Here is a 15,552-nt window from a genome sequence, read left to right as displayed (position 1 = left end):
TTCCATAAATAATGGTAAATCTTTATTTCCGTTTATTATGTTTTTTCAATGTAGCCAAAAGTAGTTTAAAAAGCAAACTTAAATTTAGTATGTCTAAATCATCACTAACAAATGGCTCAAATATATAAGATGTTCAATATCAGACATATTTAAGAAAAAGGCACCTTAAAACAACACTTGAAATAATTTTAATCCATCAGATTGGCAAGGATTTAGAAGTTTGATAAACATGGTGTGTTGACAAGGGTGTGGGTAAGCAGTCATTACTGCTGCGAATATAAATTATTAAACTTGTACATAGATGATTTGGAAATACTCATTAAATTACAGATAACCCAGACTTTCCACTTCTAGGAATTTATCTTATTTACATAGTCACACATTGAGAAATGGCATATATACAAGATTATTCTGAGCACCATTTTATATAATAGCAAAATATTATTTCTTAGTAGAGGATGTAATAGCATTAAAAGATCATCAATAGAGGACTCAAAGAAATTATGACACATCACTGCAATAAAAATCAATGCAGTTTACTAAAAAGAAAATATGGCACGGAGCAGTCTCCATGATACAATATTTAAAGAGAAATAAAACAAGATGGAAAACAGTATGTGAAAAGGAAAAAGAAAGAAAGGAATAAATGTGCTTGTAAATTTATGGACTCTGGAATGATACACAAGAAGCTGATAACATTGGGTGGGGGAGGAAAACTTTTCTCTCACTAGCCTTTTACCATTTTCTACTCTTTGTTGTACCTTGTAAGCCTTGTGAGTTTATCTTAGAAAATCATTACTAAATAAATAAAAATTAAATTAAAAATAATCTTATTCCTAGAAAACATAGGAAAAGGCTCAGAAATATTAGATTTTAAAAGCAGAATATTGGCCAGTATCTACATATCCTGATTATATGTGAGTTTTTAAATTGTACTGTTGTACATAGGGGGAAAAAGATTTAAAAGAAATATTTCAGAAAATTAACAGTAAGGTCATGCTGGTTTGTGAAATTTGGTATGATTTTTGTATTGTTCTTTGGATTTTTCTGGGTTTTTTTTCTGAGTTTTCTATGGTGAGTGTTGGTAGGAATAAAACAAAGAAAAAACAAGTTATAAAACATGTTTGTAAATTTATAGATGACTCCGCATTGTCCATATCACATGGACAAAAAGAATAGAGGAAATACAATTTCCACAGTTTTGAAAAAATAAAGATATAGTTTCATCTTTCTAATGTTTTGCCTAACTTAAAAACACTGAAGGGGCCAGGCATGGTGGCTTACACTTTGGGAGGCTAAGATGGGAGGATCTTTTGAAGCCAAGAGTTTGAGACCAGCCTGAGCAACAAAGCAAGACCCATCTCTACAAAAAAAAATAACAAAATTAGCCAGGTATGGTGGCATGCACCTGTATTCTCAGCTACTTGGAAGCTGAGGTGGGAGGATCGCTGGAGTCCTGGAGTTTGAGACTATAGTGAGCTGTGATCTGTAGTAGGCCATGATCGCACCACTGCACTCCAGCCTGGGCAACAGAGTGAGACTCTGTCTCAAAAAAAAAACAAAACAAAACAAACAAAAACCCAAAAAACACTGAGGCTCTCTCTTAAACTTGTATTATATTAAACCAGAAATCAACAAAGTGACCATAGGTCCCATGTCACCACAGATATTCATGGTTTATGTCTATTGTAATTCTTAGTAGCGTCTCTTTCAGCCTCAAAAAATACGGTCACCCTTGGTATGAGAAACAAAGTTGAAGTTGACGAGAATCATGGAAAAATAAGCAGAGGAAAAGAAGACAGGAATGGGAGACTCTTTTAAGTAGTTGAACAAGCCCTAATCTCCTTGTTTTCTTGAAGCTTATTCAGTTATAACTGAGGGCTTCTCTACTGTAAATTACAATAGTTACAACATGAACCTTGCATTCCAGAATTTCAAATGTGAATTTTAAAAATTGCTGCAATCTATAGCATGGAATTTAAGGTATAAAGCAGAAGAGTATAATAACAGGGGCATTAGAACATGACTGATAAGTTTTATGAACTTAATGGCAAGATTCTTAAAATTTTGGGGCTTTGGGCTTTGATTCCACCTGTAAAAATAGGGTGTGTTAAATCAGATGATCCCAAAATTCTTTCCAGCTCTACAATCACGAATTCATATGAGGTATAAATGTGTGTCAGCAATCTGAGATGGAAAAAAAAAGCAAATTTAAATTTTTTTCTCTTTTCTCTCCTATCTTGAAAGTATGGTTTTGTCTGACAAGAGGCCTATAATGATACCTGTTTTAATCAGAATTCATTTGAACTCTTAGGATAGTTGTTTTGGCTTTTGTACTGTTAGTCAATTTTTATTAATATTTTTTAAGAAATTATACGTTGATTTTAGATCTTAGTCATTACGAAACTGTTGGCACATACCTATTTCAAGTACCTTAATGGAGAGAAATGCTGATATGTATTGATAGTGGGATTGTGGTAGGAAATTTTGTTGAAGTTTATTGTTAGAGACTTTTCTCAAAAATTAAGAAAATTGAACCTATGAGCTGAACTGCTTTTGAACTATTTGAATTACAATTTCTACTACTTTTCTCTGCTTTTTTAGGAAATGTGAGTTCTTCTCCCAGATCTTCTGATTTAGTCAAATTAGCCCAAGAGTGCTGTTACCATAATAACAGGGGCATTGCAGCTCATGGAGTTAGAGTCCTAACTAATATAACTGTTTCTTGTCAAGAAAAGGGTAAGTTTGATCAGGACTGATATTACGTATAAACTTTGGTTTAGACCTTGGACAGAATTCTGTTTGATTTTTTTTTAATCCCTTATTTTTAGCCTGTGTGCCTTGATCTACAAATTGACTCCTTTCAAAGTGTTCTTAGAGCATGTGTTCTTAAGACTACTTTATCCTTGTGAAAAATAATAAAGAGATGAAGACCTTGGGAGTGGAATTGAAAGGTTTTATGGAGCATTGCCCATTTCCTTCCACTGCTTACCTTTGCATATATGGTGCATATATGGTGGATAAAGATTGCTTAGGACTCTACCCCTTTTGTATAAGGTGGTATGTTCACTTATACAAAAACCTAGAAAATTTACTTAGGTTCTCCAGGGACTTAAATAACAAATAGTTTCACCTAGAGGCAAGTGAATTCACAGACCAATGTGAATTAAATTTTCACAGAATTTACTCTAGGTATATGTGGCATTAAACTGACTTGCATAATCAAGGAGGACATGCAAGGAAAATAATGCACATATTTTGTTGTCTACCTAACATCTTTTGACTTGTGTTCAAGAACAAGAAATGCATTTTGGATATTCCATCTGTTTCAGTGCTGATTTTGATCTTCATTAAGGATTACAAGCTCAGTGGTTCCTCTTATCCCCCCTAGCCTTCAGCACTGCTTGTTCCTAGTACCTGTTTTTTTCTAGCAACCTGACCTTCACTAGCCTTTACTCTGTTTGCCAAGCTCCTGCACTCAGGAAACATTTCTTAAAGTTGAAAGTTGATTCTGATTTGGATAATTAAGCCTGTTTTATATTGGCATCACAAAGAGTATTTTCTTCCATGTAACACAGAAAACTGCTGTATGTTCTCAACACTGAAATATATTAACCTAAAGGTAACTAATATATTCAGAACTTTCTAAAACCTTCAGAGAAATTTTAACCCTATGGTAGTGAAAAGATGTTCTAGTGCTGCTATTTCATGAGACATCTAAGAGGTTCATTCTTTATGGTCAGACTTAAAACAGTAATAAGGTTATGTGGAGACCTTATTATTTCCTAAAAGTGGTTCAGCTTTCATTAGAAGCTGAAAACTGTTATATCTTAGGTAAAAATGGACCTGCATAATTTATTTCTGATTAGGGAGATTAACACATACTGCATAGTTTGCTGTTCTTAGTATTTTCCTTAGCTAAGCTGGTGACACTATTTCAGTTTTGCTTTATTTATAGCTTTGTGGCTTTAGCTCTTGATTTAATGTGTATATTTTTATAAATACTTCAATAAAGTGGTAGAAATAAAGTCTGAAGATAGACTTTACATTCTAGAAGTAATGCCACATGTACTTTTTCAAGGAAGGTTAGGTTCATCCATTTAATAATTCCCTATATCTTAAACTCCTTAATGTTTTTTCTAAGAGAGTGTGTATGCATGTATATGTGTGTGTGTTTGTACACACATCACTTGACCATCATAAAGTTTACTGTTTTTCTTCTAGATCTTTTGGCACTGGAACAAGATGCTGTCTTTGGCCTGGAATCCCTACTGGTACTTTGTAGTCAAGATGATAGTCCAGGTGCTCAGGCCACTTTAAAGGTGAAAACTTTTATTTATTAAGTTGTAATAGATATATATGATGGTCTTAGGCAATAGAAAGCAAAGTTAAGCAGACATAGCTCCTGTACTCTTAGAAGTTTTAATCTAAGTGATTAAATCTAACTGATAAAACTACACTGATTTAATCTAACTGATAAAACCACAAAAAAACTGATGACATGACTGCAGCCGACTCATAAATGTTCATTAATTTAACATAAGCGTTCATTAATTTCCCAGTGGTATAAGCCCTAGTTTATAAGCCAAGGGAAGAATATTTTAAGGAATTTTCACCTTCACTTAGTTACAGAAATCATCTTAGAGATATGCAAGATTTTTAAAATGTGAAATGAGGCCAGGACAGTGGCTCTCATGCCTATAATCCCAGCATTTTGGGGCGGTCAAGGTGGAAGGATTGCATGAGCCTAGGAGTTCAAGACCAGCCTGGGCAGCATACTGAGACCCCATCTCTAGAAAAATTTTTTAAAATTTAGCTGGACATATTGGGGCACACCTATAGTCCTAGCTACTCATGAGGCTGAGGTGAGAGGATTGCTTGAGGCCGAGAGGTTGAGGCTGCAGGGAGCCATTATTGCACCACTGTTCTCTACCCTATGTGAAAGAATGAGACCCTGTCTCAAAAAAAATAAATAAATAAAATGTGAAATGAAACTACTCTTTTTGGAGTGAAACGTGAAATATAATTTGTGATGGTGCAAAATTAATGAGGAGAAGCATAGTTAATAGAAGTAAGAAACTGTTAGATAAACATTGGCGTTAGCTTGTCTAAGGTGTGGTTTCAAGGAAGTCATGGCTCATTTTAGCAGGTTAAGGAAAGTTGTGATATGGTCATAGTGATGAACAATAAAGATAGTAACATCATTAAGTGACAGCTAATAAGAAGTAGAGAAGGGAAGTAGACAACATGTGTTTGGCAACACATTCTGAGGGGGATCCTCAGAATCCCCTTGGAACCACAGTACATTTAAGACTTTTTTTAAAAGCAAATCTTTTTTCCAACAATTGTGGGTGTCAGTAAAATGCTGGATTCAGCACAGTGGGACATACATAGATGGCCAAGAAAGGTTCCTGTAATAGAGGAGCTTCCCATCTAGAATAGGCTACTGATGTTTATATAGGGGACTATAATACCAAGCGGAACACAATACATTCTCTGATATTTCACAAAAAAAGTGCAGTTCTAATGAGAGGTCAGAGTCGGGAGTGATTAACTTTAACCAAGGGTATTAGGGAAGACTTTAAATAAATGTCATATGAGTTGAGTTGTGAAAGATGGAATCGAATTACAGTAATGAGGAAAGATTGTTTGAGCCCAATGACTGCTGTTATAAAAGACTTGAAAGTAAGAATGTACCTGTTGTGGTGGAAGAATGGTGACTAGCCCACTGTGGCTGGGTGAAATAATTTGAGATTTGGAAAAGTAGTTCAGTCATAGAGGATATCAAATAACATGGTATTATGGCTTTGATTCTATAGGTAATGAGGAGATAATATAATTTTAAAGTAATGGTAACCTTTGTCGTAATTATTATTGTTATTTGAATGTCTATTATGTGCCAATCTTTGTTGAAGACTTATATATACATTTGTTTCAGTCCTTCAATAACCCTATAATGAAATGTGTTCTCCTCTTATACACATCAGAAACTTAAGGCCGAGAGAGAGAAGTACCTTGTTCAAAGCCACCTAGCTAATAAGGGGCAAGCTGAGCTTCAGCCCTTGCATTTATCAGACTCTAAAGTTATGTGTGTGCCTGACACCCCACTGATGGCTACATGGCTGCATTGTGAAGGATGGATTGAAGGGCCCATCTTTTCAAGAAATTGGAATTAGGAAGAGATTTATGATGTGGTAGAGAGAATGGAAAAGTGCCAACAGTGGATATTGGAGGCTTGACAAAAGAATCTGTTAGCTATGTAAAAGTGGGAATATTTCTAGGTTTCTAGTTTTTTGGCTGGATATTAGTGATGCCTTTAAGAAGGCCTTGGTAAGAGAAATTCTGTAGCCAAATTGGTTTTTAGATTTCAGTTGAGAAATAAGAGAAAATTGGGAACCTCTTTCCCACTTCAGTGTACTTAGAGTCATCTAAGCCGTCTTTTTAAAACTGTGAAACCTCAGTAGCCTCAACACACACACACACGTATGTTAATTCAGGAATCTATATTTTTATTTTCATTCTGGGAGATGCTGGCATAGTTTACAAGCCACACTTCAGAAGCAGTTCCTGAAAAGTAATGATAATACAGTGATGGTGACATTTGGCCTATATTTGCCTCTTCAGCATTATTCCTTATGATTTCCATCTTTCTTAAAAGTATTTTAATAGTCTTAGATTGAAATGAGTGGTTGACGTGCAGTCCTAATTTGTTATTTTAAACGTAGTGCACTTCACAAACCCTAATGTGAGATTCAGTACCTCATATTTCTTATGAAGTAAAATGTTATGCCTACAAGAAACCTCACCCTTGAGTTTCCCCAGTAACCTGTACAAAGCTCTTTTCCTTAAAGCTTCATCTGTATCTTCAAAATGTAACTAGTTCATTTTCTTTTTGGCGTGCAGATTGCTCTAAACTGTATGGTGAAGTTGGCCAAGGGCAGGCCCCATCTTAGCCAGTCAGTAGTTGAGACCTTGTTGACTCAATTGCACAGTGCTCAAGACGCTGCCCGGATTTTGATGTGCCATTGCCTGGCAGCCATTGCCATGCAACTGCCGGTGCTGGGTGATGGGATGCTTGGTGACCTCATGGAGCTGTACAAGGTGATTGGACGATCAGCCACAGACAAGCAACAAGAACTTCTGGTAAAAAGCCCATTTTGAATCTCCTTTGAATGACTAGGATCTGGTCTAGTGGGAATTACTTTTAAGTCAACATTACTATTTGACTTTACTTAAAAAACAGAACAAACAATAGGTTAAATTCATTACCTAAGACCAAAGAGTGTGCTGATGTCAAAATAGAATTGGCTTTATGAGCTTTTTACTTTTTTCACTTTTGATTTAGAAAGCCGTGTTTTGTTCACCTCTAAAACTGCTTTCTTCCGAAACCCTGTCAAATCAGCCTAGTATAGCCAAAGCCTTCAATCTCATGTTTTTTTTTATTGCAAAGGACAGAATGAAAATGAAATTTTTATCTTTCTTATACAGAGTAAATAATGAACTAAACCCTGTTTTGTACTTTAGAAAATAGAAGTTAAAAATCTAATGATAATAATGACCATAAATTAGCCCAAATTTATGTTTTCCATTCCAGGACCTCTTTAGCTGTTTAGGATCCAGTTTAGGCTTCTGTAGACCCTTGAGGTTGGGAAAGGTACATGCTTAGAAAGAAACAGAAGCTGTGGAAGCTATAAAATGTTTAGTTGAAAAGTTCTGCAGGACTGAGAGTAGGCTACATTCTAAATAATTGTAAATTAAATGAAAGTTGTAAGGTTGCCATTCCATATTGTTCTGTTCATCTTAATTTAGAATGTGGGAAAAAATATAATGAAATAATTTATTCAAGCCTGTTTTATGTTTAATCCTCCAGAGGGAATTGTGTAAAAGATTGACCCCATCCCATCATTTGCTGCCAGAAAAGGTTACCTTGATGACCAAATGTATGGATCTTTATATGAATCAGCTTTGAAATATTAAGAGGCAGTTAGCTAAGTTTATTTTTTATTGAAGTGGCATTTTGAACTAACGGTCCTGATATCTTTTTTGTGAGTACTACCTTAAGATTGTCTTAAATTATGAAACATAATATTCAAAAAATCTGAGGAATAATACAGTGAAAACTCTTGCATTCATTATCTAGCTTAAGAAAAAGGTATTAACAGTTTAGTTGAAGCCCCCTGTTTACCTTGCTGATAGCATCTCCTCCCTTCTCTCAGGTAACCACTATCCTGAATTTGGTATTTATCATTCTCATGCCTGTTATTCTTTTACTACCAAAGTGTATATCCCTAAGTAATATGCAGTATTTTGCATATTTTTAATTTTATGTAAACTTTATCATACTACTTGTAATCTTTTGCATTTTGCATATTTTTGCGTATTTTGCTTGTCATCTATGTTGGTAAGTCTGTCGCTAGTTTATCCATTTTATTTACGTATCTCATTGTTTGATTATGTTATATAATTTATTCATATTATGGGTATTGCTTCTACTTCTTTGCTGTTATAAAGAGTGCCCTGAGTGAATGGAATAAATTAATGACTTCAAAATAAAAAATTAAATAAATGTCATTGGAAAACAAATTTTGTTCTTTTGCAGTGGGCTCTAATTAGTTTTCCTCCCTTTGGGGTAGGTTATCAATGACACTGAATAAAATTAAATGATTTTCTTGGTTTTCTTCTTGCCCAATGTTAGGTGAGTTTGGCTACTGTGATTTTTGTTGCAAGTCAGAAGGCATTGTCTGTGGAAAGTAAGGCAGTAATTAAGCAGCAGCTTGAAAGTGTCTCCAATGGATGGACTGTATACCGTATTGCCAGACAGGCTTCCAGAATGGTATGTGTTACCCTTCTGAGTGAACTGGGTTGCTGGAAATGTCAGATCATGTATCTTCAATTGTATGATTATTAGTTGTAGTCAAAACTAAAAATAAAGATGGAAGTACCTTTTAGTCATGGGTTCTGAAGATGAGGAAGGAAAGGACCTGATTTTTAACTTTTATCATAAAAGAATGGTATCTATGTTGTTGGCATTAGTAATGAGGAAGTTAAAATCTGGACCCTTTCTGGCTGTAGGTTGTTAGTGCCACTTTCATTTTGCTCTGTATTGTTATAACCAAGGCCACCTACCACCCGCTGTTTCTATCTTCCTTTCTCAGTATACCACATCTTTGTTCCTCTCCCCAGTCTTGTCATTCTTAAGTAGAAATGGGAAAGCTTTAGTATGCTGTACTCTTCTCAGCCATATGGAAAGCCTAACAAGTTTTATTAATTTTGTTTGAGAGGAAATAGAAACCTTGGTTAGTACAGAAATCCTGGCCGGGTGGGGTGGCTCACGCATGTAATCCCAGTACTTTGTGAGAGGCCAAGGCGGACAAATCTCTTGAGGCCAGGAGTTTGAGACCAGCCTGGCTGACATAGTAAAAGCCTGTCTCTACTAAAAATAAATTAAAAAAAAAAACCTTGGGGATAAGTCCAGAGACCAAAGTTTGAGGAAGCATTACTCTAGGTGATTGAAGTGCATGTTCTTAATTTTATGTTGCTTCTCAAATGGGGGAGAAGCACACACTCTTGGCAGGACAATTCTTCATTATACTGTTCTGTCCCAAGCACTGCAGGACATTGAGTATCCCTGGCCCCAGGCATTAAATGGTATTCACATTTCTCCCTGCAACTATGCCTTCTCCCCTGGGGTTTCTCTCACCCACTAAATAGTTCATCTAGAATAACATAAAAAAGTATTTATACTTCCTGTATTTTGGGCTAAAGTTCTAGACTTGGTTTATAGTTGATTCCATTTATTTTCTCTTTCGGAACTGTTTTAGTAAAGAATTTCAAGCATTATGTTACATAAAAGCAACTCAGCATATTTTCTCTGAGGAAATATTTAGACAGAGTCTCAGCGAATTACATAATATGAGGAATGATTGTTCAGACTTATCCAAGGTTTGGGTTTCTCTTTTAGCTGCTGCATCAACTCTTTCAAATGTAAGAACCTCACCGTGTGCTCCTTCTATTCTTTTTTCTTTTCTTTTTTTGTTTTTAGGGTAATCATGACATGGCCAAAGAGCTTTATCAGAGTTTGCTGACTCAGGTTGCCTCAGAACATTTCTACTTCTGGCTAAATAGTTTGAAGGAGTTTTCACATGCAGAACAGTGTCTCACTGGGTTGCAAGAGGAAAATTATAGTTCAGCACTTTCTTGCATTGCTGAATCTTTAAAATTCTATCACAAAGGGATTGCTTCCTTAACAGTAAGTCCTCTTAATTCACCTTTGGTGGTGATGATTTATGTGAGAGTTCTCTCCCTTCTCTTTTTGGATTGTCCTATTTCAACTAACTTGAGAAACCTGCTGATATGAAATAGGTCATGGAAATAAACCCTTAACCTTTTCCCCTTTTTAACATTCTTAGATTGATAAAAGTTTATCACTTTCTTGTTAAAAATAACTGGGTACCACATGTGAAGAGGATTGCTGAATCCATGCAGAATGGGTAAGTGGTGTGTAGACAGGATGCTCCCTCTACAGACTAAGATTCCAGCCTGTGTGCATCAGTACCACCATCAAACATAAACCCCTGACCTCATCTCATACCTGGCAGCTACTGACTAAGTAACTAAAGTTTCTTGCTTTATAGATAAAGAGAAATTATCGAAGATTCTAGTGTCCCACTTTGTATCTCTCTGTGGTATCCTCCTACTCCACATTAACCATTAGCTAGCTACAATTTCTGTTATCTCTGCCAAGAAAATGAAAGGGTTGCAAAGAGATCCTTATGTTTCCTTGAAATTAGTTATATTCCTAAGTAGGAACCTATTCCCTAAAATCAGCATTTTTTGTATTAATGCAAGGGCTTTTTCCCTTTAAAAGTAAAGAAGTTATATAATCAACGTTAAACATTTTAAAAATACTGTCACATGACTTTAAAAATTGTATATATTGAGATGGGACCATAAAACTTTTGGTACCTGTTTACGTACATTTATAACATATCTAAAATATTTTGAATGGTGGCCTATCTCAAAAGAAATGTTTCAAAGTAGAAAAAACAGGTGTCACTAAAGAGAATATTCAGACTACTGTGAGGCACATATATTTTGAAGTATTTTATATATATATATATATATATATATATATATATTTTTTTTTTCTGGGAAGAGATTGTTGTTTCCTATATTAGGCTAATAAATGCCTCAGAAAATTAAAAAATATAATTACTGGTTGAGATCAATAGAACTATTTCATTTTCTAGTTTATGTGGAGCAGAAAATTGGTAATTATTTAGTACCATAAATGGTAAGAACTTTGAACAGACAGGCTTACAAAACAGTGTGAGGCAGATGGAATTAATTTTATGAAAAATTCTGTTGAATATTTGATACTTGTTTAATGATTTGTGTGGTATGTGTATTTAATGAGGCTTGACAATAATTAAGGATTGAATTCTGATACAGGAAGAAAGCACTTGATTGACAGAGAGGAGACCTTGTCTTAGTCTTGGTTCTGCCATTAACACAGCGTGACTTTGGGTGGGTCATTGGGCCTCAGATATTCTCCTTTTGAAATGGAGTTATTTTATTCAACAGATCATAAACACTTGGTATGTGTCAAACACTGTTTTTAGGATTAAGAAAAACAGGAAATAATTCTTCACTTGAGTGTAGTCTACAGGGGAAGGCAGTATGATCCTCAGAGTTGTTGGAAACTTCCCAGAACTCTGATTGTACTGTATACTCTCAGGGTTTTTTTGAGGACTTTTTTTATTTTTATTTTTTAACCTGTTCATTTGGTAAGTGTGGATTTGACAATTGCTTTCTATCTTTTTAACTGAGTAAATATGAGCATGGGCTGCCCCTTTTAACTTACTGATGTGAATGATCCATACCTGAGATCGTACAGCTTTGAGGATCATGCTTTTTATCTGCTTCAGCCACACTAAACAGGAGAAGTTCAAAATTCTTTGTTTATGGAGACCCGATAGCAAAGTTAGGTGTTTAATTTCTCAATACAATGATTAATGATAGAGTTGTCTTATTTCTTAGGAATAAAAATTATAAAAAGTGTTTATATTAGCTTTCTGTGCTGTGTAACAAATTACTACAAGTTTAGTGGCTTAAAACAATACCTATTTATTATTTCACAGTTTCTGTGGGTCAGAAAAGTCCAGGCATAGGCCAGGCGTGGGGGCTCATGCCTGTAATCCCAGTACTCTGGGCGACCAAGATGGGAGGATCACTTGAGCCCAGGAGTTTGAGACCAGCCTGGGCAATGTTGGAAAACCCCGTCTCTACAAAAAAAAATTAGCCAGGCATGGTGGCATGCGCCTGTGGTCCTAGCTACTCAGGAGGCTGAGGTGGGAGAATCACCTGAGCCTGGGAAGAGGAGGTTGCAGTGAGCTGAGATTGTGCCATTGCACTCCAGCCTGAGACTCTGTCTCAAAAAAAAGAGAAGTAGCAGTAGTAGTCCAGGCATGGCTTAGCTGGGTCCTCTGCTCATGGTATCACAAAATTGCAATCAAGGTGTCTGTGAGGGCCAGTCTCAGATATCTGAGGCTCAAGGAAGCTCAGGGTCCTGTTCTAAGATCATGAATTTGTTGCAGAATGTATTTCCTTGCACCTGAAGAACTTGTGGAACCTGGTTCTTCCAGACCAGCAAGAGAATCTCTCACCCTCTTTTAATGGCCTCAACTGATTAGATCCGATTCACTCAGAATGATCTCCCTTTCTACTAATATAAAGTCAATTCATTAGGGACCTAAACTACATCCTCAAAATCTCATCACTTTTGCCATATTCCATTAGTTAGAAGCAAGTTTTGGGTGCTATCCACCTTCAAAAGATGTTGTAGGTTTAGTATTCCTTAATGTAAAATGCTTGGAACCAGGAGTGTTTTGTATTTTGAGGTTTCTTTGGATTTTGGAATATTTGCATTATGCCAGTTGAACCTCCCTAATTCAAAATTTGAAACGTTCCAATGAACATTTCCTTTGAACATCATGTCAGTTTCAGATTTTGGAGCATTTCAGAATTTGGATCATTTCAGATTTTAGGTTTTCAAACTAGTGATATTCAGCCTGCCCAAGGTGTGGATACCAGGGAACTTGAATCAGAGGAACCAGCTTAGCGTTCTTCCTACAATAGTTTTTTTTTAATCATTTAATTTTTGTTATTAAATATTGAATAGGCATAATATCTACACATGTATTATGTAGGGCATAAAAAAATACAACAAATATCCAAACATCCAGTTAGAAAATAGGACATTACCATTACCTTTTAAAATTCTTATATGCTTGTGAATAATACCCTGGGTCACATAGCAAGACACTGTCTCCTAAAGAGAAAAAAAGTAAAATTCTTATGTGCACCTCCACATTTGTATACTGTTTCCTTTCCACAAAGGTAACAGTACTTTGCATCTTGTGTTTACTGTTCCATTGCCTTTCTTTATAATTTTTTCTTTTTCTTTTTCTTTTCTTTTCTTTTTTTTTTTTTTTTTTTTTGAGACTGAGTTTCACTCTTGTCACCAGGCTGGAGTGCAGTGGCACGATCTTGGCTCACTGCAACCTCCACCTCCCAGGTTCAAGTGATTCTCCTGCCTCACCCTTCCAAGTAGCTGGGATTACAGGCGCTCTCCACCATGCCTGGCTAATTTTTGTATTTTTAGTAGAGACAGGGTTTCACCATGTTTGCCAGACTGGTCTCGAACTCCTGACCTAAGGTGATCCACCCGCCTTGGCCTCCCAAAGTGCTGGCATTATAGGCGTGAGCCCAATGCCCGGCCCTTTCTTTGTAATTTCAACATGCTTTTTTGTAACTCTAAAGAAAGTTCTGTTTTATGTTGCTTGTTTTTGAATTTTATGTAAAAAGGAGTCATATTTTTCTTTGACTTGCTTTGATCATCTAAATTATGTTCCTAAGATTCATCCATTTTGTTGCAGGAAGCTGTAGGTCAATTTCCCTGCCATATAGTCTTGCATCATAAGAATATACATCAATTTATTTTCCCACTCTATAGTGTTGATAAGCATTTTGATTTCTCCAGTTTCTTGCTGTTACCAACATACTGCTCTGAACATTCTTGTACATATCTTTTGATGCACTTACTGCAAAGGTTTCTCTAGGACAGTGGTTCTCAACCAGGGATGGTTTTATCCTCCAGGGGATATTTGGCAGTATCTGGAGCGTTTTTTGGCTATCACCACTTGCCCAGTTGTTACTGGTATTTAGTGCAGAGGGAATGCACAGGAGAGCCCCCCTCAACAAAGAATTTATTCAGTTCAGAATGTCAGTAGTACTCAAGTAGAGAAACACCCTTCTCTAGGGCAGTGGACCTCACTCGGAGCTGTGTATCTTCCCCCTGCTCCAATTTGGAAGTGTGTGTGGATGTTTCTTTTTGTCACAGTGATGGGGAGTTGGGAAGCATTGCTACTGGTAGTAATGGTCAGTAGCTAAATACCTAATCTCCTGCAATGCTAAGAATACTCCTGTTCCTGTTTAGAGATATTGCTGTAAGATATTACCTAAGAGTGGAATTGCACAGGTTATGTGCATCTTTAAATTGACTAGCTAATACCAGTTTTTTCCCAGTGGCTTTACAGATTTAAAGTCCTCCCAGCAGTGTATAAGAGTTCCTATTGCCATACATTTTTCTCTTTGTCTGGTAGGTTCTAAAGCTTATGATTGGCTTTTCCCGGATTACTAATACAATTAGACATTTGTTTCATATGTTTGACCATTTGTGTTTTATTTTCTGTGAAGTTCCTTTTGAAGATTTTTGCTCATTTTCCTACTAGTTTTTATGTCTTTTTCTTACTGGTTTATAAGAGTACTTTATATGTTCTGGATACTAATCTTTTGTTTGCTAAGGTCAATATGAGGTAAAATTGGCCAGATAATATTGTAACTGACTTCTAGAACCCCAAAATCATGTCTGGCTCTTTTGCTAAAAGACTAATGTGAGATAGTATCTAAGAAACAGCATCAGCGTGTTTTAAGTGTGTCATGTCATAGAGGAAAATTTTCACTATGCCTCTGTTTATTGTTAAATTAGCACATTTTTAGTATGTGCCTTTTGTTAAAACTACATAGTGCTAGGATCTCCACTAGGACAGTTGCCAAATAGTTAAAGGTTTTCTTAGTTCTCTGCCCACCCTGGCTTGCCTTACCATTTACCTTTTCTACCTAGCTAATGCTACCCAAGACTTACCCCTGATACCCCTCCATCCTCATTGAAACTTATTTGTGTGTTATAACCTCTTCTTCCTTGGTGTCTTCTCTGTGCTTTCTGAAGTGTCTACTCAGGAATTATTTTTAAAATTAATCTGAGCTACAGGAGTTTGAGGCCAGCCTGAGCAACATAGTGAGACCCTGTCTCTACAAAAAAAAATTAGCTGGGCACAGCCAGGCGCGGTGGCTCTCACCTGTAATCCCAGCACTTTGGGAGGCTGAGGCAGGCCGATCATGAGGTCAGGAGATCGAGACCATCCTGGTTAACACGGTGAAACCCCGTCTCTACTAAAAATACAAAAAATTAGCCAGGCGTGGTGGCAGGCG

The 15,552-nt window shown here is 36.2% G+C and overlaps 1 protein-coding gene across 7 annotated transcripts in view, besides 1 other annotated feature; it reads left to right on the top strand.

Annotated features, from left to right (window-relative positions):
* INTS7 (integrator complex subunit 7) overlaps window positions 1-15,552 on the top strand; it is a 95,155-nt gene that overhangs the window by 50,143 nt on the left and 29,460 nt on the right. For 5 of the 7 annotated variants that reach the window (NR_037667.2, NM_001199809.2, NM_001199811.2 and 2 more), the window contains 5 exons: window positions 2,605-2,739; window positions 4,225-4,322; window positions 6,904-7,143; window positions 8,696-8,833; window positions 10,043-10,249. Coding sequence is in view for 6 of the 7 variants with exons in the window: in NM_001199809.2 (NP_001186738.1) it covers window positions 2,605-2,739; window positions 4,225-4,322; window positions 6,904-7,143; window positions 8,696-8,833; window positions 10,043-10,249 (818 nt within the window). In the remaining variant the exon portion in view is untranslated. Of the gene's footprint in view, window positions 1-2,604; window positions 2,740-4,224; window positions 4,323-6,903; window positions 7,144-7,870; window positions 8,584-8,695; window positions 8,834-10,042; window positions 10,250-15,552 lie in introns of those variants that run through there. The other 2 variants (XM_047417179.1, XM_017000962.2) reach the window with 2 other exon arrangements.
* Window positions 8,997-9,226: an enhancer, noted in NCBI's record as "active region_2494". NCBI's record gives its function as "activates an Ori minimal core promoter by ATAC-STARR-seq in GM12878 lymphoblastoid cells {active_cell/tissue: GM12878}" and the evidence as "EXISTENCE:reporter gene assay evidence [ECO:0000049][PMID:35858748]".

Source organism: Homo sapiens, chromosome 1 (genome assembly GCF_000001405.40).
Source record: "Homo sapiens chromosome 1, GRCh38.p14 Primary Assembly".
Lineage (NCBI taxonomy): Eukaryota > Metazoa > Chordata > Mammalia > Primates > Hominidae > Homo > Homo sapiens.
The sequence above is the reverse complement of the archived record's forward strand: the minus strand, read 5'-3'. Positions and strand labels throughout refer to the sequence as shown.